Here is a 24,753-nt window from a genome sequence, read left to right as displayed (position 1 = left end):
TTTCTGTGAATTGCCTGTTAATATCCTGTTTTTCCATTTTGTTGTGAGATTTTTATTTTATGTTAAAGAATAGTGATATCTGTTTATCTGTCACATATATTGAGCCATTGTATAAAACTAAGAAGAATTGCGTCCTCTCTAGGATCCCTGGCTACTCTGTTGGTAGACTTTCTCCTCCCAGGGAGGTTCACATAAGCTAAAAAAAAAAAACCCTGATCAGTAGGAGCTCAAGCCATATGCTACTGGAGCCATATAAGACACTGATGCTGTGGGTCTCATATAAGAAAGCTAGAGAGAAAGATGAGTACTAAGCTCTGGAGGCAGGCAGTGTTAGAAATCTAGCTGACAAGAGCAAAGAGAGAATAACTATTCTAAGTGGCATTATATATCAAAATCCATAATTTTTACTACCCTCACTCTGTGATAAATATTTTTATAGCTAAATATTTGTACAAACTATTAATTAATTTCTTAAAATAATTCCTCTTAAGGAGAATTTCTAGGTAACACATTTGCACACTATGAAAGCTTTTAAACATGTAATGTCAAATTGCCTTCCAGAAAAATTGTACCAATTTACATTTTCACCACCAGCTTATTATAAGCTCTGCATGCTAACCATTACTGAATATTATTGACTTTTTTCCCAATTTGATAAAGAAATATATAATGGTATGGGTTTGGTTTTTTTTTTTTTTGCTTTCTTTGATTGCCAGTGAGGTTGACATTTTTCATATATGTACTCAACATTTTTATATTTCATTTAACAAATATTTACTGGTCACCTACAATATTCCAGTCACTGTTTTAAGACCCAAAGATAGTGTGGTGGAGCTTTCATTCTAGTGGGGAGACAGACAGTAAGCATATAAATAAATAATATAATGCCAGATGGTGATAAGTCCCATAACTAAGAGGAAAGAGAATGATGATAGGGTGCTATTTTTGACTGAATAATTAGGGAGAGAGTTTCCGAAGAGATGACATTTGAGCAGAAAGATTGAGCCATATGATTGAGGAAAAAACTTTCTAGGCAGAGAGAATTTCAAATGCAACAGTCATAAGGTGCAAGCATACTTATATTTTTAAGGAGGCCTGTGTGGTTTGAACAGGGTGTGTGAGAAAAAGAGGGTAGGAATGAGGTTTGAGAAGTCAAGAACAAATCATGTGGATTAAATTTTGCTAAATGGTATGGGGTAGGGAATTGAAATTGTTTTTTCCTTCCCATTAATTAAAACATATTTCTCGGGACTATTTATTGAATGATGTTTTCCTTTTTTTTTTTTTTTGCTTCTTTCAGATGTCAGCTTTATTCCTATATGTATGACTGGTTTGTTTCTAGGGCTTCTCTTATATTCATTGAGCTCTCTATTCTGGTGCTAGACTAACATTTTTTGGTATTGTTTTATGATATGCTTTCATAATTGGTAGTATGTAGATCCCATTATTACTTCTTGTTTCACAATTTTTTTTCCCGTAAATTCTTCTAAATCAAATTTAGAACTTTTAGTTGAGTTTTCCGTAAAATATTCCATAGAGATTTTTGTTGAACAGATGTATTAATTTAGGGAGTTAAAGATTTTTCTATTGTAGCATTTATTTAATAAGAACAAGAAGATTGATAACAAACAATTATTAGGTGTTTTCTGTGCTGTAGGAACTATGGTCACTGCCTATATTGTAATTTATCTGTATATATTTTTCTCTATTAGATTGTCAGCTCTTTGGAGGAAGAGATGATATCTTATTCATTATTTTGTTTGATTCTTGGACTTGTATTTTCTTGGACTTAGAACTTGGAGAGTGTCCATTAATAATTGAAGATTGCAGATTGAAGTAGAAGTAATAGGTATGAATAATTTCTCTTCATTCTAGGTTTCCTGAATAGTGAAGACTTGTTAGTGTAACTAGAGTTGAAAGAGGAAAAATTTAAATTAAGAGAATAGCCCTGGATGGGTGTTTTAGGAATTTGGTTTGTTTGTTTAATTGAAATTTAAAAGACCGTATCGGACTCACTTCAGTTATTTCTTTGTCTTTTTTTTATTTTTATTTTTTATCAAAGCTATCCTGGTCCTTTTTTGTTTTTGTTTTTGTTTTTTGAGACCGAATCTCACTCTGTCGCCCAGGCTGGAGTGCACTGGCGTGATCTCGCCTCACTGCAACCTCTGCCTCCCAGGTTCAAGCATTTCTCCTGCCTCAGCCTCCTGAGTAGTTGGGACTACAGGCATGCACCACCACGCTTGGCTAATTATTGTATTTTTTGTTTGTTTGTTTGTTTTTGAGACGGAGTCTCGCTCTCGCCCAGTCTGGAGTGCAGTGGTGCGATCTCGGCTTACTGCAAGCTCCGCCTCCCAGGTTCACACCATTCTCCTGCCTCAGCCTCCCGAGTAGCTGGGACTACAGGCACCCGCTACCATGCCTGGCTAATTTTTTTGTATTTTTAGTAGAGACAGGGTTTCACCATGTTAGCCAGGATGGTCTCGATCTCCTGACCTCATGATCCGCCCTACTCAGCCTCCCAAAGTGCTGAGATTACAGGTGTGAGCCACCGCGCCCGGCCTAATTATTGTATTTTTAGTAGAGACAAGGCTTCACCTTGTCGGCCAGGCTTGTCTCAAACTCCTGACCTCACTCGGGTAATCCACCCACTTTGGTCTCCTAAAGTGCTGGGATTACAGGCGTGAGCCACCGCGACTGGCCCATGTACATTTTATTTGGTAAATTAATGTCCTTCAGTTCTGATAATTTTTAAAATGATGTCTTTCATTGTTTTCATTCTCCTGTTTTCTGTGTTTTGACTTTAAGAACCTCTATTTTTCAATATTGGAACTGCTAAATCGGTGTCCTACTTTTCTTATGATTTCCCTTCTATTTGTCTATATCTTTGCCTTTTTTTTCTAAGTATCTGAGATACTTCATGAGCTTTATTTTTTACTTTTTATTTTTGAGACAGAGTCTCATTCTGTCACCCAGGTTGCAGTGCAGTGGTGCGATCTTGACTCACTTCAACTTCCGCCTCCTGGGTTCAGTCGATTCTCCTGCCTCACCCTCCCAAGTAGCTGGGACTACAGGCGTGCGCCACCACACCTGGCTAATTTTTGTATTTTTGGTAGAGATGGAGTTTCACTATGTTGACCAGGTAATCTGCCCACTTCAGCCTTTCAAAGTGCTGGGATTACAGGCGAGAACCACCATGCCTGGCCTTATCAGCTTTATTTTTAATTCTTCTACTGATTTTATCTCTGATTTTCTTTTTTATTTCATTGTTCTTACATTCATTATCTTTTCTAATATTGAGATGATATTAATGATAACTGTTTTTGAAAATTTCTTCTCCATGCATAGTCTAAATTTTCTCTAAGTTTCTTTTTTTTCTGTAGTTTGTTCCTAATTTTTTGTTTTGGTTTCTTTAGTAGTAAAGGCTTTCCTCAAGTGATTGGATGTCTTTGGTTATTTGTTCATATTTGAGAGTGGAGGTTTTCAAAAACTCATGGGAAGCTCTGAGTTCATAGTGTTGGGACTTGTTGGTTGTAGGCCTTTGAATGGTGTGCTGGATTGGCTTGTGTCTGCTTGTGAAGTGCAGTTGTTAGCATCTCTTCCTATCACTGCGTTAAGTTGAAGTATTTACATCACAGAAGTTGATGAAGGCTACCAATCAGGGGTCTAGTCCAGAGATCATGCATTTTATCTGTGCCAGAGAATGTCTCCCTTTCTGCTGGGGAGATTGAAGGGCAGCCATTCTGCTGTTCTTCCTGAGAAAATCTAATTGATTTAGATTTTCAACCAATGTCGTAGTATTTAATTCCTTTTGTTTCTGAGTATTTAATTCTTTTTATTTCCATTGTATGGATATATCACAATTTATCTGTTTACCAGCTAATGGACATTTGGGTTGTCTCTGTTTTAGGCTATTACCTATAGAGCTGTTATTAATATTATATGTACAAGTCTTTTTATGGACATATGCTTTCATTTCTCTGGGCTAAATACCTACAGTGGAATGACTGGATTATATGGTATTTGTATGTTATTTGTATGGTATGATTTGATGGTAAGTTATGTGTGGTATTTGTATATAACTTTTTAAGAAACTGCCAAATTGTTTCACTAAGTGGTTGTACTATTTTGCATGCCTATTAGCAGTGTGTGTGTGAATTCTGGTTGATCTACATCCTTGTCAATATAGGTTTGTGAAGCCTTTTTAAAGATAACAATTCTGATAGTTATATAGTAGCATGTCATTGTGGTATTTAAAAAAATAAATTTTATTGTGTATATTTGTGGTATACACATGTTATGGGATACATATAGATAGTAAAAAAAAGTTTACTACAGTGAAACAAATGACCACCTCTCACAGAGTTACCCTTTATTTTTTGTTTTTGTGGCAAGAGCAGCTAAAATCTACTCACGTAGCTGAAATCCCGTATACAGTGCAATTTTGGTACCTGTAGTCTTCATGTTGTACTTTAGACCTCTACACTTGTTCATCCTACATATTTGCTACTTTGTATCCTCTGATATTTATTTCCCCCGTTCTACTCCCCCTACCAATCTTTTGTTCTCTATCTCTGTATATTTGATTTTTTTTCAGATTCCGTATATTTTCAGGCAATATTTTTCTTTTTGTGTCTGGCTTATTTCACTTAGCATAATGTCTTCCCGGGTCATTCATGTCATAGAAAATGTTTAGATATAATTCTTTTTTAGGGCTGAATAATATTTTATTGTATGTATATATATCCCCTGAATTTGGAATCTGGATGTGTGATGCCTCCATTTTTCTTTCTTTCTTTTTTTTGTTGTGGGGGTGGCAGGGTCTTGCTCTGTTGCCCAGGCTGGAGTGCAGTGGCATGATTATGGTTCACTGCAGCCTCGACCTCCCAGGCTGAAGCAACCCTTCTACCTCAGCCTCCTGGGTAGCTGGGACCACAAGTGTGCACCACCGCACCTGACTAATTTTTTTTATTCTTTATTTTTAGCAGACATGGAGTCTTGTTATGTTGCCAAGGCTGGTCTCAAACTAGTGAGCTTAAGTGAACCTCCCTCCTCAGCCTCCCAAAGTGCTGGGATTACAGGCATGAGTCACTGAGCCTGGCATACAACTTTGATTTTCTTTCTCAGAATTGTTTTGGCTATTTGGGGTCTTTTATGGTTTCATATGAATTTTAGAATTTTTTTTCAATTTCCTAAAGAATGCCATTGGGATTTTGATAGGGATTGCATTGAACCTATGTAATGTAAGTAAGTCAGAGACTTAAGATTTAACGTCTGCAAACTAGGAGTCATTGTTTTCTCTCCATCCTGCATTGTCTTCCCTGCAGCAGATTTTGCTCTTTTTTTATTTCACATCTTAGTTAATATTGTAATTTTTTCTAGTCATGTAAGCCTAAAGTCTGAGTCATCTCTAGACTACTGCTTCCAGTTTCCCACCTTCTTCCAATTGATCCATGTGTTTCATTAATTCTTCTTTTAATTAACTGTCAAATAAGCACATTCCATTCATTTTCATTGACCCACCTTAGTTTAAGTCTGCCATGACCCCTTGTTTGGAATAGCTATTCATTCTCTTTTCAGAGATGCCTGTGTGCTGTCTGGTACCTTGATTATCTTACCACTTTGTAATTATTAGCTTGTGTGTCTATCTTTTCCATTACACTATGTTCTTGTAAAGAAGGACCTTGAGTTACGATTTTGTGCTCCCAGTGCCTAGCTCAATATGTGACATACAGTTGGTGTACAATAAATGTTTTGTGAATGTGTGAACTAGTTTATCTTTGATAGTTTTGATATCACTATGACCATCAGATAAAGCAATTTTTTGTTCTATTTTTGGAAAAGTGTCTTTCAGTGCCTTATTTTCCAAAAGTTAAAAAGAGTTTCCTTAATTGTAGTTATCAAAAAAAAAATAGACTCTTTTATATAGTTACATGTTATCTCCAGAATATATTGCATAGTAAAATCAATGATGACTGCAAAATTGTTAGGATCTTCTCATGGTTTACAACAGTCCAAATCTTCAATTTTATTTTCAAGTATGAAATATTGATTACATTTTCCTGGTTGCAATTGAAGAGCAAAAAGACTTTATATTCTTCCCACAATGCAAAAATATCTTATAACTTATATAAATCACCGGCACCTCAGAAGGAGTGTGTTAACAGGCATGAGGCAGGTCTCATAAATCTTTATTCTTTGGTATGGAATATAGTAGCTGAATGTTAGTTGCTTCTAATATTTAAGTAACGATAGAAAGTAATAGGGAATTTTTGGATCCAAACTTCAGTGCACGACCATGGACACACATTTGTTAATAATTTCTGAAGATATTAATAGTTGCATTCTCTATTAGTTTCCTTTTATCAAATAAATGAAGTTGATGTTCTGAGGGGAATTCATAGAAGATGGCAATCATTTTCCACATGGCTAAAATTTTTATCTACAACCTGCTGCTGACTGTGGGGCTACCAGCCTTCTTTTTGTTTTTCAAGGCAAGATCTGGCTTCACTGTTAACTCTGCGCTTGTGCTTTATTTGCAGCATCTGGCGAGGCCCCAATGTGAACTGCACAGACAGTTCGGGTTACACTGCTTTACACCACGCAGCCTTAAATGGACATAAGTAAGTGCCACTTATTTGGACGGAATCGTGTGTATTTAGTTACATGTGATGAAGTTAATTATGTCTTGACGATACCTTTCTCATGTCTCTGTGAGTCCAATGGGCTTAGGTGAATTTGGAAAGGGACCAGGTGACAACACTGACAAGTTAGACTTGGTAGGAATGTTGCTGAGTATAATTGCGTGCAGAGTGTAAGCTGAAAGAAATGCTCTAAAATACTCAACCTATCACACTGGGAGAATGGAAAAATTGACAGGACCATGCTAGTCATGTGTATCTTTGGGGGAGAGAATGGGATAAAACCACTTGATAACACCCCTTTACCTTTTTTGGTGTCTCCTTGTATTCACCCAACATAGGAGTGTTTACTAGGAGTGTAAACTTAGCATGACTCCCACTATTCTGAGCCCTGGTCACTTATATGAACCACTTCAGAATCCTTATTTAGCTAAAATGTTTTATCTTTGTCATTCATGATTGTCTTTCTAGTTTTAGATTTGCCAACCCTAAATTTTTTTAATAAGTAAAACTGTTTCAAATAATGTAATAGTATATGTTATGGAGAGTGCAAGAGTGTGTAGCCGTAACAATCTCTATTTCCAGTATTTTAGCTAGGTATCCTAATGGTTTAGTGACAGAGTTAAAGTGTGATGAGTCCTCCAAATGATTCAGATGTTCTGTCCTCCCCTACAGAAAAAAAATGACCCTCTTCCTTTATCTCCCCCTCGTCTCTGTTTTCCCTTTGTGTGAATGATCCAAGTTAGTTTTCCCAGATCTGTATCATTTCATTTCACTTTTTTTTTTTTTTTGAGACAGAGTCTCACTCCTTCGCCCAGGCTGGAGTGCAGTGGCACAATCGTGGCTCACTGCAACCTCCGCCTCCTGGATTCAAGTTATTCTCCTGCCTCTGCCTCCTGAGTAGCTAGGATTACAGATGCCCACCACCACGCCTGGCCAATTTTTGTATTTTTAGTAGAGACGGGGTTTCACCATGTTGATCAGGCTGGTCTTCAACTCCTGACCTCGTGATCTGCCCGCCTTGGCCTCCCAAAGTGCCGATTGTGAGCTACCACGCCTGGCCCTCACTTTAGTCTTTTAGATGTGGTAATTACTGCTTTAAAAGTGCTAGTTACAATCTACAGATTCCGTACTATTCCTATCAAATTACTAATGTCATTTTTCACAGAACTAGGAAAAAACTATTCTAAAATTCATTTTGAATTTAAAAAAAGAGCTCAAATAGCCAAAGCAATCCTAAGCAAAAAGAGCAAAGCCAGAGGCATCATGATAGCAGATTTCAAACTATTCCATAAGGCTACAGTATTAACTAAAACAGCATGGTACTGGTACAAAAACAGACACATAGACCAATAAACAGGTTAGAGAACCCAGAAATAAAGCCATACACCTATAGCCATCTGGTATTCAACAAAATTGATAACAAATAAGCAATGGAGAAAGGACTCCCTCTTCAATAAATAGTGCTAGGATAGCTGGATAACCATATGCAGAAGACTGGAACTGGACCTTAACCTTTCACCATATACAAAAATTATCTCAAGGTAGATTGAAGATTTAAATGTAAGATCTCAAACTATAAGAATCTTAGAGGAAAACCTTGGAAACACCATTCTGGACATAGAACTGGGCAAATACTTCACGATAGAGACTTCAAAAGCAATTGCAACAGAAAGAAACATTGAGGCCAGGTGCAGTGGCTCATGCCTGTAATCCCAGCACTTTGGGAGGCCGAAGCAGGTGGATAGCTTGAGGCCAGAAGTTTGAGACCAGCCTGACCAATGTGGCAAAACCCTGTCTCTACTAAAATTACAAAAATTAGCTGGGCACGATGATATGTGCCTGTAATCCCAGCTACTCAGGAGGCTGAGGCAGGAGAATCGCTTGAACCCTGGAGGCAGAGGTTGCAGCGAGCAGAGATCTCATGACTGCACTCCAGCCTGGGTGACTGTCTCAAAAATAAATAAATAAATAGATAAAATTGACAAGTGGGACCTAATTTCATTAAACTAAAGCACTTCTGCACAGCAAGAGAAACTATCAATAAACAAACTATAGAATGGGAGAAAATATTCATAAACTATGCATCTACCAAAGGCCAAATATTCAGAATCTATAAGGAATTTAAAGAATTCAACAAGCAAAAACCAAATAATCCCATTAAAAAGTACTCAGAAGACGTGAACAGACACTTCTTAAAAGAAGATATACAAGTGGCCAACAAGTGTATGAAAAAATGCTCAACATCACTAATCGTCAGAGAAATGCAAATCAAAACCACAGAGAAACCATTTCACACCAGTCAGAATGGCTATTATTAAAAAGTCAAAAAATGACAAATGTTGGCATCTTTTATAGAGTGAAGAGAGTGCTTATTCACTGTTGGTGGGAATGTAAAAATTAGTTCAGTCTCTGTGGAAAGCAGTTTGGAGATTTCTCAAAGAACTTAAAACAGAACTACCATTCTACCCAGCATTCCCATTACAGGGTATAAATCCAAAAGAAAGTAAATTGTTCTATCAAAAAGACACAAGCACCTGCATGCTCATTGCAGCACTATTCACAATAGCAAAGACATGGAATCAATTGAAGTGCCAATCAGTGGTGGATTGGATAAAGAAAATGTAGTACATATGCACCATGGAATACTATGCAGCTATGAAAAGAATGAAATTGTGTCCTTTGCAACAACAGATGCAGCTAGAAGCTATTATTCTAAGTGAATTAATGGAAGAACAGCAAATCAAATACTGCATGTTCTCACTTATAAGTGGGAACTTAATACTGGCTACTTGTGGACATAAAGATGGCAATGATAGAAACTGGAGACCACTAGAGGGGGTAGGGAGGGTTGAAAAACTATTGGGTACTATCCTCAGTATCAAGGTGATGGGATAAATTGTATCCCAAACCTCAGCATCATACAATATATCCCCTGAATCTAAAATAAAAGTTGCACATGTGTCCCCTGAATCTAAAATAAAAGTTGAAATTATTTTTTAAAAAGTAGAAATGGTAGTTACCTTTTGTTTTTTCACCTAACATTTCTTTTATTCTGTGAATGGTGACTCAAGGGTCTTCTTCATACTTAATCTTAGGTTTGGTGGTCATAAAGCTCTTAATGCAAGACATTTTTTTTGTCATTATTGATCACTGACATTTTTCTCTTAAAATGTATAAATTTAATGCCATCAGCCTGTTTAGAGAATCATTTGAGTTACATAAACTATTATAAACTTTGTTTCATTATTTAGATTTTTAGAATTGGAATTCCCAAATTGTATTTATTTTTATTCAGTTCCTATTCTATATTGTCTTATATCATCTCATTTAGAAATATTTTGCCATATCTTCTAATTTTTTCTCTTCCTTTATAGAATGGAAAGTATGTCCAGATATCTAAATATTTTAAAGGAGAATGTTGTTATTCTTTTTTTACCTGAGTCACCAGGAACAAAGACAAATCAGCCCAAGTAATATAATCCTGATGGCTTCTTGGCTATCTGAATTATGGATTCAGGCTACTATCATATTTTTTAGTTCTAATTGGGAAGATAAACTCTATTACATCTAATGGGCAGGATATCTTGGGCCTGACCTTTCATTTGAGGCATACTACTTTTCTTGTTCTTTCTCAGATTGGCATTGGTAGGTAAGCACTTCTTAAAGTAATATTGTCCCAAAATGGATTAGCATTCATATCCCTCCTTCATTTTCAGTGAAGTATTTAGTAAATGCTGATTTATACATGACAGTCTATGAAGTTCTAACTGTTGAGATATGTTTTTCTATGGCCCATGGCATAATTTTTTTTTTTTTTGGTGATTTAGAAAATAAAGATAATTTAAGCAAATTGAATAGCAATCATTAAGATTCTCACAAACAGATAATTTGATTAGCTATTTTTAAAGATCCCTTTAATTACAGATAGTCTGTGGGAATTATATGTCTGTGCTTTTGTCTGAAAGATCTCATTTATCTTTTCTTTTTAATTTTCAGTGTCATCCTATAGGCATTGGAAAAAGCAGGAAGATTCTAACCCCATCTCCCCATCTCTGCTAGTTGTGTGACCTTGAACCATTTACTTAACATCTGTAGGCCTCAGTTCAATAGCTTGAATAGATTGGCTTGATATTCTCCATTGTTTCTTACAATGATAACATTGAATGATACACTGTGTTGGTATTATTTATGGCTCAGTTATGCACTATGATGCTACAGTTCTGAAATTGGGAATTTCATATAGAGTGTATGTTTCTTGATTTTGCAAGTTTAAATAATCTATGAACTTGTACAGTTAGAGATCACTTTTTCTACCTGACACCCCTCAGCTCCCTCATTTTATAGATGGAGAAACAATGCCCATTTAGTTAAGTGACTTAATGGCCACATAGATATTAAAGTGGGGTTGTGTCTAGAGCTTAAGTGTTCTGGTTCTAAGTCTATGCTTTTACCAGTACTCTGCATTATCTCCCCTTTGTTGTTAAACTCTCCCTGGCTCTTCTCTGTCACATTATATATTTCTGGCCTGCCTCCCATAATCATTTGTCATATGTTTACATGGAATGCTAATTTTAATATTGGCTTAAAAGATATTTGAGGGAGAAAATAATGTCATAGACTGTATCTCAGAGCCAGAGAAGAAGGTTATTTCTTTTATTTGCATTCTCACTTAGCAGAGGTAACTAACAATGATTATATTGTATTCTTCCCAAGCAAGCCTTAGCAGTCTGCACAGAAACACATCATTTCCATGTTTGTCGCTGTTGTTGTATCCATCTGCTCTAGATTTTTTCCATAAACATTATAATTGGTAGGCTAAAGTTCATAGAATCATAAAGCCAGCAGTAATGTTTCGGGATCATATAGTTTATTCTTTTGCTTTGAACACAAACTGTCCCCCTACCCCCAACATAAAATCTAAAGCCTTCATACTGAAAATTAAACCAGTTTCCCCAATTTTGTACATTTTCATTGGGAGCCATTGTTTATCAATGCTAGTTAATCCACAAATGAAGCAGCATTTTGTACCTGAAATGCATTATTTCATATTCATCTTCAATTAGCCAGATCAGGACACAATGGAAAATGTACTCTACTGGTGATTTCTTGGGTTATTTGTAATCACAGATTAGAAAATTATTACCATCAAATGATAGGAAAAAATCATGGTTAATAAAACAAAATTTACTGCAAGTATTATAAATTATTTCCATAGATAGAGTAGAGAGCTATTTCTTTGTATCTTTTTCTCTTTTTAAAATATGGAGGATTCATTGTCACATGTATTTCTACTGCAAATTCAAATCCCTTAATTCTCCTCTGAAAAGCAATTGGCTGGCCTGACTACCTGCCTTCCTCTCTACCTTCCTTCCCTGCCTCCCACTTCTTCTCATCCCTTTTTTTCTTGTTCTCCTCTGCTTTCCTTAGTCCCCTCATTCCTTTTTCCTTTACTTTTCCTTCTTTCTGACTTTTCTCCTCTCTTCTTTTCATCCATTATTTTTAGTAATAATCTTATCTTTCCCTGTGAGGTTATATTAAACCTGTATACTCATATTTCAATTCAATTTTTCTTCTCTACTTAACAAATAGTTCCTTATTTTCTTCTTAAGTTTAATGTTATTAAACTATATTTGGTATATTGTGACACTTGCATGCTGTTTTGAAAAATATCAGCAGATCGTTATTGTATTTCTGAAATATGTATATTGTTTTATATACACATAAGATATTTTCTATTCTTCTACCTTTTAAAGTATTTAATGCATGCTAGATCTCATTATCTGTAATCCAGATTGCGTATCAAATTGGATCTAGAATCCATATAATAAGCTATCTGTATGATTTGATCTTTCTTAGGTTTTCTAATAAAAGAGGCATACCTCCTCTAAAAATTGTATAATCTGGTCTCTGAAGTTGCTCTTTGAATAACTAGAAACATCTTTAGTCATCTTGCTTTTTTTCCTGGATAAGGATACAGACTACTTAAAATTTGCCTTTATTCACTCTGTAATCTAGAAATCTATGAGAGTGAATTCAACATGTAAAGAAACTTCAGTTAGAAAATGGGACGTATTGTCCTGAAATCTTTTGACCATCTTGAACACATCTGCAACTTTATTCCCATTAAAGAGAAGTAAAAGTGTCAAGAAAATCTGAAATCAAAAGGACCTTATTAAATTTGAGAGTTTCATTAGATGTTAATTCTGCATCCATATGAAGATGATTTGCATTTATTTTGAAATTCTTTGGACTCAATCAACAAGCAAGAGAGGATGGTATGAAATAAACATCTTTGGTTGTGATTTAATTACAGGGAATCTTGCTGTTGAGGCAAAGAAATTTGAAGGTTGACTCTTCCCAATTTATTTAATTTTGCTCAGAGCATATGCTGAACTTACCGAAATACATTTTTTATTAATCAGATGTGTATTTATATCTTTCAGAAAATGGATGTGAATTAAATATAGCAGCAAAAGTCAATACTTCTAGAATTCCTGTTTTTAACTGAACTTACATGTATTAGCTTAAAGCTGCAAAATATTGCAGCTATTTACATTGGATATTATTAAATTTAATTTGATGTTTTACTTTGTTTTTGGGAAATGGAAAGTATTTTTCCATTTCTATTTCCATTTTCCAAAATATTTTTTCTATTTTCTTGTCAACCACATTTGCTTTAGGATTTTAGAGTATTTGTTATTTGTCAAATGCTGGATATCAGAAAATGCTACTTTACATTTAAGACATAGGGATTATTTTGCTGCTTGCTATTTTACAGATATTGATTAGCAATGTAACTTAATATTTCTTTTTTCACAGTCCCAATGAATTTTTTAACATTAATTTTTCAATAAGTTATTGTGGTCCAGGTGATATTTGGTTACATTAGTAAATGTACTTGAACACGCATGTTTATAGCAGCAGAATTCACAGCTGCAAAATCGTGGAACCAACCCAAATGCTCATCAATCAATGACTGAATATTTCATGCCAGTTGACCAAGCACAGGCGATGTGTTCCTTTGTGGATACCTTAAAGTAAGCTATAAGGCTCAACCTAAATAATATTTAAAGAAATACTGTGTAGAAGCTTTTAAGCTTGATGTAATCCCATTTGTCTATTTTTGCATTTGTTGCCTATGTTTTTGAGGTCTTACCCAAATATTATTTGTCCAGACCAATGTCCTGAGGTGTTTTCCCCTACTAGTTTCATAGTTTTAGGTCTTAGATGTAAATATTTAATCCATTTTCACTGAATTTTTGTATTTGTTGAGACACAGAGGTCTAGTTTCATTCTGCTGAATATGGTTATCCAGTTTTCCCAGCTTCAACAACTGACAGAATGGGAAAAAAATATTTGCAGACTATCTATCTAGCAACAGATTAATAGCCAGAACATATAAGGAACTAAAAAACCCAATAGCAAAAAACCAAATAATTTCATTAAAAATGGGCAAACGATTATAGACATTTCTCGAAAGAAGACTTACAAATGACCAACAGGCATATGAAAAAATGCTTAACCTCACTAATCATCAGGGAAATGCAAATCAAAATCACAGTATCATCTCACCTCAGTTAAAACGATTTTTACTGAAAAGACAAATATAATAGCTACTGGCAAGGATGCAGAGGAAGGGGAATGCAGGTACACCATTGATGGGAATGTAAATTAGTACAATGACAATGGACGACAAGTATGGAGGTTCCTTAAAAAACTAAAAATAGAATTACTATATGATTTCACAATGCCCCTGCTGGGTACATATCCAAAAAAAAAAAGGAAATCAGGGTATCAAAGTGATATCTGCATTCCCCAGTTTATTGCAGCACTATTCCCAATAGCTAAGATATGGGATCAACCTACTTATTAACAAGTGAACAGATAAAGTAAATGTGGCACATATACACAATAGAATATTATTCAACCATAAAAAAGAATGAAATCCTGTCACTTGCAGCAACATGGATGGACATGAGATCATTTTGTAAAGTGAAATGAGCCAGGCACAGGAAGACAGACATCACATGCTCTCACTCATATGTGGGAGCTAAAAAAAAGGGGATCTCATGGAAGTAGAAAGTTAATTGGTATTTATAGGAGGCTTTGAAGGAAAGGGGGGGGGGAGAAGAGATTTGATTAAAATACAAAAATACAGTTAGAAGGAATAAGATCTAGTGTTTGATAGTACAGTAGACTGACTAAAGTTACCAATATTGTATAGTTCAAAATAGCTAGAAGAGAGGAATTGTGATGTTCCCAACACAAAAAAAAGATAAACCTTTGAGGTAATGGATACCCCAATTATCCTGATTTAGTCATTACACATTGTATGCATATATAAAAATATTACATGCATCCCCAAAATATATACAACTATTATGTATCAATAAAAATACTAAGTTGGTACTACACTATATTAACTGCTCTTCTAATTTAGATATTATATATGAAATTTAAATTGTTCTAATGAGCCTGGATGAAAATGGCCTATTTAGTTCATATTACTTTGGATATATATGGATATATCATAAGAATGATTAATCATAATTTGCTGATTAACACTTTATTCTACTTATAACTTAGTAAAACTGACAGATACTTATTTGATCAGGGATACAACTTTATATTTCACAAATATGTTTTAACACTAGAAATCTGAGCTCAACCAATTCATTAGCTGGTATCTTTGAATAAGATGTAAAGCTCGATTTAAACAAAAATTTGAAAATAAATTTTAATTTTAATTTTAATTTTAAAATAAGCACATTTAAACAAAAACGAAAATAAATAAATGGGACCTAATTAAACCAAAAAGCTTCTGCACAGCAAAAGAAATAATCAGCAGAGTAAACAGACAACCCACAGAGTGGGAGAAAATATTTGCAAATTAGGGCTAGTATCCAGAATCTACAAAGAACTTAAACAAATAAGCAAGAAAAAAAACAAATAATCCCATCAAAAAGTAGGCAAAGGGGATGAATAGACATTTCTCAAAAGAAGATATGCAGACAGCCAACAAACATGTGAAACAGTGCTCAACGTCACTAATCATCAGGGAAATAAAAATTAAAACCACAATGAGCTACCACTTTACTCCTGCAAGAATGGCCATAATTAAAAAGTAAAAAAAGAAAACAATAGAAGTTGGTGGGAATGTGGTGAAAAGGGAACACTTTTACGCTGCTGGTGGGACTGTAACTTAGCACAACTGCTATAGAAAACAGTATGGAGATTCCTTAAAGAACTAAAAGCAGATCTATCATTAGATCCGTCAGTCCCACTACTGGGTATCTACCCGAAGGAAAAGAAGTCATTATATGAAAAAGACACATGCACACATGTGTATAGTAGCACAATTTGCATTTGCAAGGATATGGAACCAACCTAAGTGCCAATGAGTGGATAAATAAAATGTGGTATATATATACACCATGGAATACTACTCAGCCATAAAAAGAAGGAAATAATGTCTTTTGTGGCAACTTGGATGGAACTGGAAGCCGTTATTCTAAGTGAAGTGACTAGGGAATGGAAAACCAAATACCATGCGTTCTCACTTCTAAGTGGGAGCTAAGCTATGTGGATGCCAAAACATACAGAGTGATATAATGGACTGTGGGGACTGGTGGAGGGAGGTTTGGAGGGGAGTGAAGGATAAAACACAACACGCTGGAAACATTGTGCACTACTTGGATGATGAGTGCACTAAAATCTCAGAATTTACCACTAAAGTGTTACCCATCCATGGAACCAAAAACCACCTGTGTCCCAAAAACTATTGAAATAAAATTAAAAAAGAAAAAAATAAGCACATTTAACAAAATATTTATTTATTAAAATAAATACATTTTTCAAAACTTAAAAATAATGTGTAAATAATGTGTAGTTAGGATCTTAGTGTTTTCCAAAGGCAATTTTACAAACTTACAGATTATTCTTTTCTGATTTAGATATTAGATGGTGGTAATACTAGAAAATACAAATGATTAGTAAGTCAGTTTTCAAAATAGACGTTTTTTCACTTGTCATAAATCTTCCTGATAAATGAAGAATGAATGTATATCACTTACATTATTAGAAAATGTCAGTAAAATTTGAGCCAAAGAACAAATGAAATTCTAAGTGATTGGAGCAAGAGTAAAAGGAAATAGAATTGATGATCCCATCAATCTTTTTTTCGTCTTTACCCCTTGAAAGGAAATGCTTTATAGGAGAAGTTGTTTCAGAATATATTTTTTATTTCCTTAGGTATTAAGAAATGAAATTTTTCTCTTCTCACAGTTGTCTTTGACAGTAACTTGGAGAAGTCTATTTTGTAGTAGGCTAAATTCTACATTTTAGATCCAGGTATTTAATTTGACTAACTTCTTTTGCTATTATTTTGCCTTTTAAATGCTGAAATATTTTATTTAAAAAGCAATCACTGGAATTGTTTAACATTGCAACAATCTGCCTTGAGAACAACTTTTGATTGTATATATAATTTTACAATTACATCTGTTTCTCATTTGATTCACACCATAACTGTTTGAAACTAGCACCAAGATGTAATCTCTAAATTCTATTTTCACAATATCTGAAAGAGAGACAGAGGTTACTTAATTTCCTCAAGGTAACCAGGTTTGTAAATAGTAGAGAGTTGGGACTTCAGATCTTTCCTTATCTGCTTTTGTTATTCATAGGTATTGAATTCTCATTACCTCACTGAAGTTATGTATTTATTTATGTCAGAATGGAAGACCCTATATAACAACCCTTGCTTGGCAGGGAAATGGGGAGAAGCGTGTGAACTGGATAACCTTTAAGTTTCCTTCTGATTTTCTGATTCTGTTTTTCGAAGGTGACTTTCTATAAGCATTTCATTTCACTTCTAAAGTATTTTATTTTTACTTGGGACAAGTGCTATTATTGGTATAGTGCTTTACTATTTATTGAGTGAATTCTTTTTTATGATCTTATTTAATGCTATTACCAGTTTTGAGTAGACATTATCATTATAGTATCTCCTGAAGAAAAAGAAAATGAGACTAAGTACAGTCATGTGTTTCTTAATGACAGGGATACATTCTGAGAAATGTCTAATTACGTGATTTCATCATTGTGTGAACATCATAGAGTGCACTTACACAAATCTAAGTGATATAGCCTGTCACACACCTAGGCTACATGGTATGACCCGTTGCTCCCGAGTTACATGCCTGCACAGTATGTTACTGTACTGAATACTGTAGGCAATTTTAACACAATAGATACAGAAAGTATTTATGTATCTAAACATATCAAAACATAGAAAAGGTACAGTAAAAATGAGGTATGATAATCTTTTTGAACAACCATTATATATGCGGATGGTCTGTTGTTGATCGAATTATCATTATGTGGTGTGTGATTATCATTTCTCCGGAATCACAGCCTCAGGTAGTTTGCATAGCTGGGACACAAATCCAAGTCTTCTAAATTCAGATTTCGTAAAATAATGCTGGTTTTTCAAAGAGAAATGTTAAAATTTAATTCTTAATTTCTCAGAAATTATATCATTAGACAATTTAGGACTCCTTGGATTCTAAATATTTCTACAACATATTCTTGTTTTTTTAAAATCATGATTTCTTACATTTAGCAATTAAGTCAAATGTTGTGACTTTAGGACACATTCTGGACAGTATGTTTTACCATTTACCATAATTTTGTATCATATCATATCTGTTTTTCTTGTGAGCTATCAAAATTCTAATCTTCCTTCTATTAAAATTTCCTCCAAATGTTTTCATTTGTTACTTGCATCTAGAGTCTGATTTTATGAAATGTTTAAATGTAAATCTGTTATGTTCACCCTCCCCATTAGTGATTTGTTGTATGTAAGAAACAACTTTATTATATATTGTAATTATATATATATTTTTATTTATGTGTGTCTGACTAGCATTTCATTTAGTGAGTTAATAGAATTTGCTTCTTAAATGCATCCAAATGAAAATACAGTTTTGTTTAGAATTACTGCTTTTGATTGTTGACATATATTTTGATATAATTTATGCTAATAATTATTAATTAATTCTTTCTAAGGTTGAGTAATGCAGGTCAGGATTTTTACTTTGAAAACCTGGTGGGGATTAAGTTCAAAATTTTTGAGGTAGGATATATTGAATATGTGTTGAAATTGCATTAATGGTGGAACTTGTCTTTTAAATGAGTTTCCCTTTTGAAATAATTTTTTATGCTTGGAGAAGAAAGGTGAAGGAATACAGAAGTAGGAACAAGGAATACTCAAAGTGTGTTGTGTGCCATCACTGAGAAGTTATTAAAATTTTTTTATTATTATTTTTTAACCCTGGGCTAGTACTACAGTTAGCTTGTCAAGGGTCCCTTACATACTGCACTTTCTTTCTCTTTTACATACCCCTTAAATCTCTTATTCCAATTATCTGTAGGAATGATGTGTAAATTTTATAAATGCCTCCTTGGTATTATGATAACTTTTTGTGTGTGTGTAAACAAGGAATATACTTGTAACTTCAACTTTTCCTTCAAACTAAATCTCAGATATGGGCTATCTGGAAAGAGCTCTTTTTTTAAAAAAAAAAATGGGAGTTGGTATCCTCTTCATTTTACTTAGCTCATCTAATTAATGAAATAAGTTAAGTTTTGCTTATATGAATTCTATTAAGTAGTTTAATTGGTTAGTCAATGTGTGCTCTCGCTCTCTTTCTCTCTCTCTCTCTCTCTGTGTGTGTGTGTGTGTGTGTGTGTGTGTGTGTGTGTGTGTGTGTGTGGCATGGGGTGATGGTTTTCCAGGTAAGTAAAATAGCCAAATGTTGAGTAGGCAAAAACTTTGAAACCCAACTTTATATCTTAGTACCTTGAATGATTACTCTAAATTCCCACCCAGCATCTAGTATTCTTTTAAAATTACCTATTTAATACAGTTTGTCTTGCTCAGCCTATTTTGTTGTTGTTGTTTTTTCCTTTTTAGGGACATAGTTCTCAAACTACTTCAGTATGAGGCATCAACAAATGTAGCAGACAACAAAGGGTATTTTCCTATTCACCTGGCTGCCTGGAAAGGAGATGTGGAAATTGTGAAGATTCTTATTCATCATGGACCATCACATTCCAGGGTCAATGAACAGGTGCACTTGCCAAATGTTTGCTCATGATGTAATTTTTCTAGTTTTACAAGGCAAAGCCATATTGAAAATGTGATTTTTTTATCTTTACCTTGCCCAAAGGCCTTTCCATTGCTGAATTTCCTAAAAGGAGAAATTTGAAAAATTCTTTGGTGTTTGGATATGATATGCAGGGACTAAGTTGGGCATTTGTAAAGATACTTTGTTAATGGGAAAATCCTACATAAAGGAAGTAGCTGAAATATTTTTGCCTGTCTTATATAATCAGCCATTTTATAGCCATTGAATATTTAAAGATAGAACAGAATTCATATGTGTAATGAGAATTACAATGTTTCTTAATACAATTTTGAATGCTAAAACAATGATATGCCTATCATTTGCATAATGCTTTACCATTTACTTAGCACTTTCATGGTTAAGTACTCTTGTGAATCAAAATGTGAAATATAGCATATACAGTTGCTTGTCACATATTAAGTTAAAATTTTTTGATATATATATATACAAACACAAACACATATGCCCAGAATAAGTTGAATAAAACACAGCAGCAGTATGATTCTGACAGTTAATGTATTTGTAAGTACACAATATCTATATTACACATAATGGACATATTTTAAAAAGAAAACCAGTGTCAGTATTCTAAACAGATAGGACCACAGATTCTAGAAAGTAAAATATGGTCCCCTAATACAGTATGATAACAAACATGTTGATCTCTGCATGCCCCCTACTGTTCCCATTTTGTAAAACTATATTTGAAAACCAGCAGACAGTCCAACAATTGAATTACAATCACGGCATTAAGCTGCAGGTTGGCAGTTGTCCAATATCAATGCAAGTAGGTTACTTTAGGGCAAGCATATCTAATAAAGCACAATTAGCATATTGTTCAAATGGATGCAGACTTTGCCGGACTTTGAAATTCAGACTGAAGGATAAAAAGTAACAATTGCTGTAAATAGCAAAGGGAAGAAAAATACATATTTTTTCAATGAAAATATATATGCAGTTGTTGAAAGGACTAATCAGGAAAACATTTTATTAATTGGAAAAGTATCTTATTAATATTTATCACAATAAAAATTTCCATGTTTACAGGTTACAAAAATGCAGAAATTTTAATAAGAATGCACCCAGTCTTTAAAACATGACAGATATGGCTATCTTTATCATCATATCATGCTAAAAGGAAATTTATGACAATGCTCTTCTCTTCCACAGAAAACCAACAGTTAGATCATTTATGAGATGAGCCATCTGGTGGTTATTCTTAAAATTGTCTGAATACTGCAAAGCAAACCTGAAATAATAAAATGGAAAAACAATCCAAGGTTAAACAAGAGGATGTTAGTTTTTACAAACAAGATGTTTTTAAATGACATGAAAATAAGAAATAACATATAGTATTCACTTACATTTGAAAGTGAAAAGTTGCTATATGTTTTAAAGAGAAATACTTGTTTTTGGTAATGTTGAATAGATCAATTAAATTACAAAAAGTGTCTTTTTAAGGAGACCATATTCAAAGTCCTTTGTTCACCTCTGTTGCTTTGTGTTGCGGTTTCTATTGGCAAGAAGTTGCAACTTTCTTACGATTTTTAATACCATAATTTTAGTATTTTTTCATTGTTATATGTATACTCTTTTGATGCTGATCATAGTTTTCCCATTCTATGCCATTTCTCCTAAATTTTTTGATGTAGGATTTTTATTTTTATAGATAACTTTTAATTTTAGCTTTCTTTTTTCCTTCTGAATAGGACAGAATCTTCTTGTTAATTATAAACTTTTATGTATTTAAACAATAAAGGAAATAAAAATGGTAATTAGCATTTATTGAGACATAAGGTAAAGCGGGCACTGTTCTAAACACTTTCACCTCAAAAATACGATTTAATGAATTCTCACAATAATCCTCTGAATTGATAATATCACTCGCATTTTATAGTTGAGAAATCATGCTCTGTAAAACTAAACAACTTGTCGAAGGCCACGTGTTACTGAGTGACTGAAACTGAGACTGAGACTCAGGACTTTGACTCCAGAGCCTTTTACACAACAGCGCATTGGTATTGTCATCCTAAATCCTATCACTTAATGGATTGTTTACTGTGTGCCAGGCATTGTGCAAAATACTTCATCCCCGTTATCTTACTAAGCCCTAGATTACTGTTGCTACTATATATATGGAGTTACAGCCTTAGAGAGATAGAGTAGATTGACCGTAACATCACAGCTACTAAGAAATGCAGCCAGTGTTTGAACGCAGGTTTTTCTGATCCAAAGCCTAAGCTCTCAACCAGTAATACATTTATGTTATGTTAAAATTATGCATTATAGTCAGGGCTTCATTCTGATTTCTGAAAGTTATCTTTGGTTTCTAATACAGCTTTCTTTAAAAATAATTCTATTCTACATTTTAATATTTAAAGTTTACAATGCATTTTAAAAATATGTTATCTCTTTTGGTTTATAAACTATATTATAAGGTTTATAGGGAAAATAATATTCTCATTATACAGATAAGATAGGTTTGGAGAGATGAAGTAATTTACATGGTAACACTTCAACCTAGGTCTTGTTCACCATTCTAAACAAAGTGGACTCTACCCGGATTATGGTTTTTATAATTGCCACATCCTTCTCTTTTATCATCTGATTATTTCCTTTTTGCAATTTAAATTTCCTTTAAATTGAAAATTTTCAATTTCTTTAAATTTCATTAATCCTTTCTTCCCTTTACCTTCTCTTCCTCTTTTTTTTTTTCTTTATTTTAACATTAGGGCAAAACCCAGAGGGGCCTTATCTGAAAAACACATTGCCTTTGCCATTCACCGAAACTCGAATCCAACTCTTGTTAGATGTTTTACTCTGAACCAAGAGTTTTTGGTAAATGGCTTTTGTTAGCCAGTTTTGTTCTATCATCCATTATCTGGAAGGGTCCTAATGTTTCAGAGAATACCCATTTGGTAAAAAAGAAGGAATTAAAAAACTTTTAAGAATATTCTGCATAGCCATACTAGGAATTATTAATCAGTGCCTCATCACAGCCTATTTATTTCAAATTAGATTATTTTAGATCACTTGTGAGCATACACAAATACACAATCATGCTCTCGTAAAAGTACCACCGTTGTGGCGTCCACTGAGGTGACGATCCAAGTATGTGATGATCATGGATAAAATCTGTGAACTTTTTATCCTGAGTAGGTCTTGAATGATTGATATATTTTCCCTTGAGATCTGAACAGTGCTAATTGGTGTTACTAGAAAATTTTTCGATTTTGCTCTTGTAATTTCCTAGGCTCAGGGCTCTGGACCAGTAGAGAGGCCTTTGAGGAATCATTATTTCATAACTGGCCTTTCTCTTTTCTCAAAGAGATACTGTATTTTGAAAACTGAGATTGAATCCCTTTCAGACCAGGGGGAAATTTGGGTTGGTCAGGAGGTATATATCTGTATAATGTTTTCATGGTGTGAAGTAATAAGATTGGCTGTTTTATAAGCCTGATAAGAAAAACAGATAAGAAGACCAGGGAGTCTAAACCTGTATGTGATCATTGTTTATGAAGAAGTAGATTATAGTAATACTTTCAAACCAAGTAAAGAAGGACTCCTGACAAATGATGGAAGAAACAGTACCCTCAGCTGGATTCCCCATCTAACAGGTCTTAACTTTTCATTGATTGTCTTGAAAGAGTAGATTTTTCCCTGTGGGTTTGACCTTCAAATGCTCTCTCTTGATACTTATTTGCAAGGTAAAGTAGTAAGAAGCCTTTCCTAGTGCTGTTTTCCCCTTGTCACTCTACTCCTTTTTAAATTTTCAAATCTTCCCTCTAGACTCTCAACTTACTTGCATTCTTCTATCATCCAGGGCAAACTTGAGTTACTTTCTAGAACATTAAGATTTGTTTGGGTCTGAACACTTCTTATCCTTTTATTTTCATCAGAACAGCTATCTAAACAGCTACTCCCTATTCTCGGTTGGTATTTTTCTGAGCAAAACCTCTAGAAATTCTGCTTTCAGATCACTAATTCCCAGCTCTTCTTTGACAATATAGCAACACATGGCAGACAACATGGTATAGTGGAAAGAGCATGGGTTTTGGATTTGTCAGATCCAGCTTGCAAAATATCTTAATTCTACTTGGATGTGTAATTTAACCTTTTTGTATTTTAGTTTACTTGTCCATGAAGTAGACAATTTTAATATAAATTTTGGAGAATTGTTGTAAGAGTTAAATGAGACAATATATATAGTTTTTAGGCACTCAACAAGTAGTAGTAGTAATAGTTCCTATTTTGGAAGGTGGTATGTGTGATGGTTAAGAACACCCACTTTGGGTCTTGGCTACTTGTGTTCAAATCCCGGTCCTACCACTAAATGGCTGTATAACGGAAGGCCAGTTATTCAACTATTCAGTGCCTCAGTTTTCTCATCTGTAAAATGGAGATAATGATAATAGTATCTATCTCATAATGAGGATTAAATGAGTAAACATATATAAAATGCAACTATGTCTAGTACATAGTGTTAGCTATGATGATAACTCTGATGGTGGCAGCTGCTCTTTCTTTCCAGAACCCTCATTTACGGTTATTGCATTTTTGTTACTAAAATTTCTTGTTCATTTTTCTCCTGACCCTTCCACCTCCTGACATACCTATACACCATCTACCTATATTGCTCAAATAGTCTGAAGGGTCCCTCTGCCTTGCAACTGGGTTCAGTTTTCTGTATCTTAACATTTTTAAAAATCTTGATACATTTCTAGGAAAATCTCATTGATTTTCAACTGAACCCTTATAAGCTGCACATGTTGTACTGTGATACTCCTAGTAACTTGTCTGGGAACTGATCTAGGTCCATCCTCACAACCCATGATAACATTTCAAAAAGGTACTTTTATATCTTAAGGCCAAAATCTTTTCATTTTCTTTGCAAAGGAAGCAATGATTTGTACTTACATGGA

At 34.1% G+C, this 24,753-nt stretch overlaps 1 protein-coding gene across 17 annotated transcripts in view; it reads left to right on the top strand.

Annotated features, from left to right (window-relative positions):
- ANKS1B (ankyrin repeat and sterile alpha motif domain containing 1B) overlaps positions 1-24,753 on the top strand; it is a 1,250,151-nt gene that overhangs the window by 153,008 nt on the left and 1,072,390 nt on the right. For all 17 annotated transcript variants that reach the window (XM_006719514.5, XM_006719507.5, NM_152788.4 and 14 more), the window contains exons 2-3: positions 6,540-6,620; positions 19,618-19,774. In XM_006719514.5, the coding sequence (XP_006719577.1) occupies positions 6,540-6,620; positions 19,618-19,774 (238 nt within the window). The remainder of the gene's footprint in view (positions 1-6,539; positions 6,621-19,617; positions 19,775-24,753) is intronic.

The sequence above is a fragment of the Homo sapiens genome, chromosome 12 (assembly GCF_000001405.40).
Source record: "Homo sapiens chromosome 12, GRCh38.p14 Primary Assembly".
Lineage (NCBI taxonomy): Eukaryota > Metazoa > Chordata > Mammalia > Primates > Hominidae > Homo > Homo sapiens.
The sequence above is the reverse complement of the archived record's forward strand: the minus strand, read 5'-3'. Positions and strand labels throughout refer to the sequence as shown.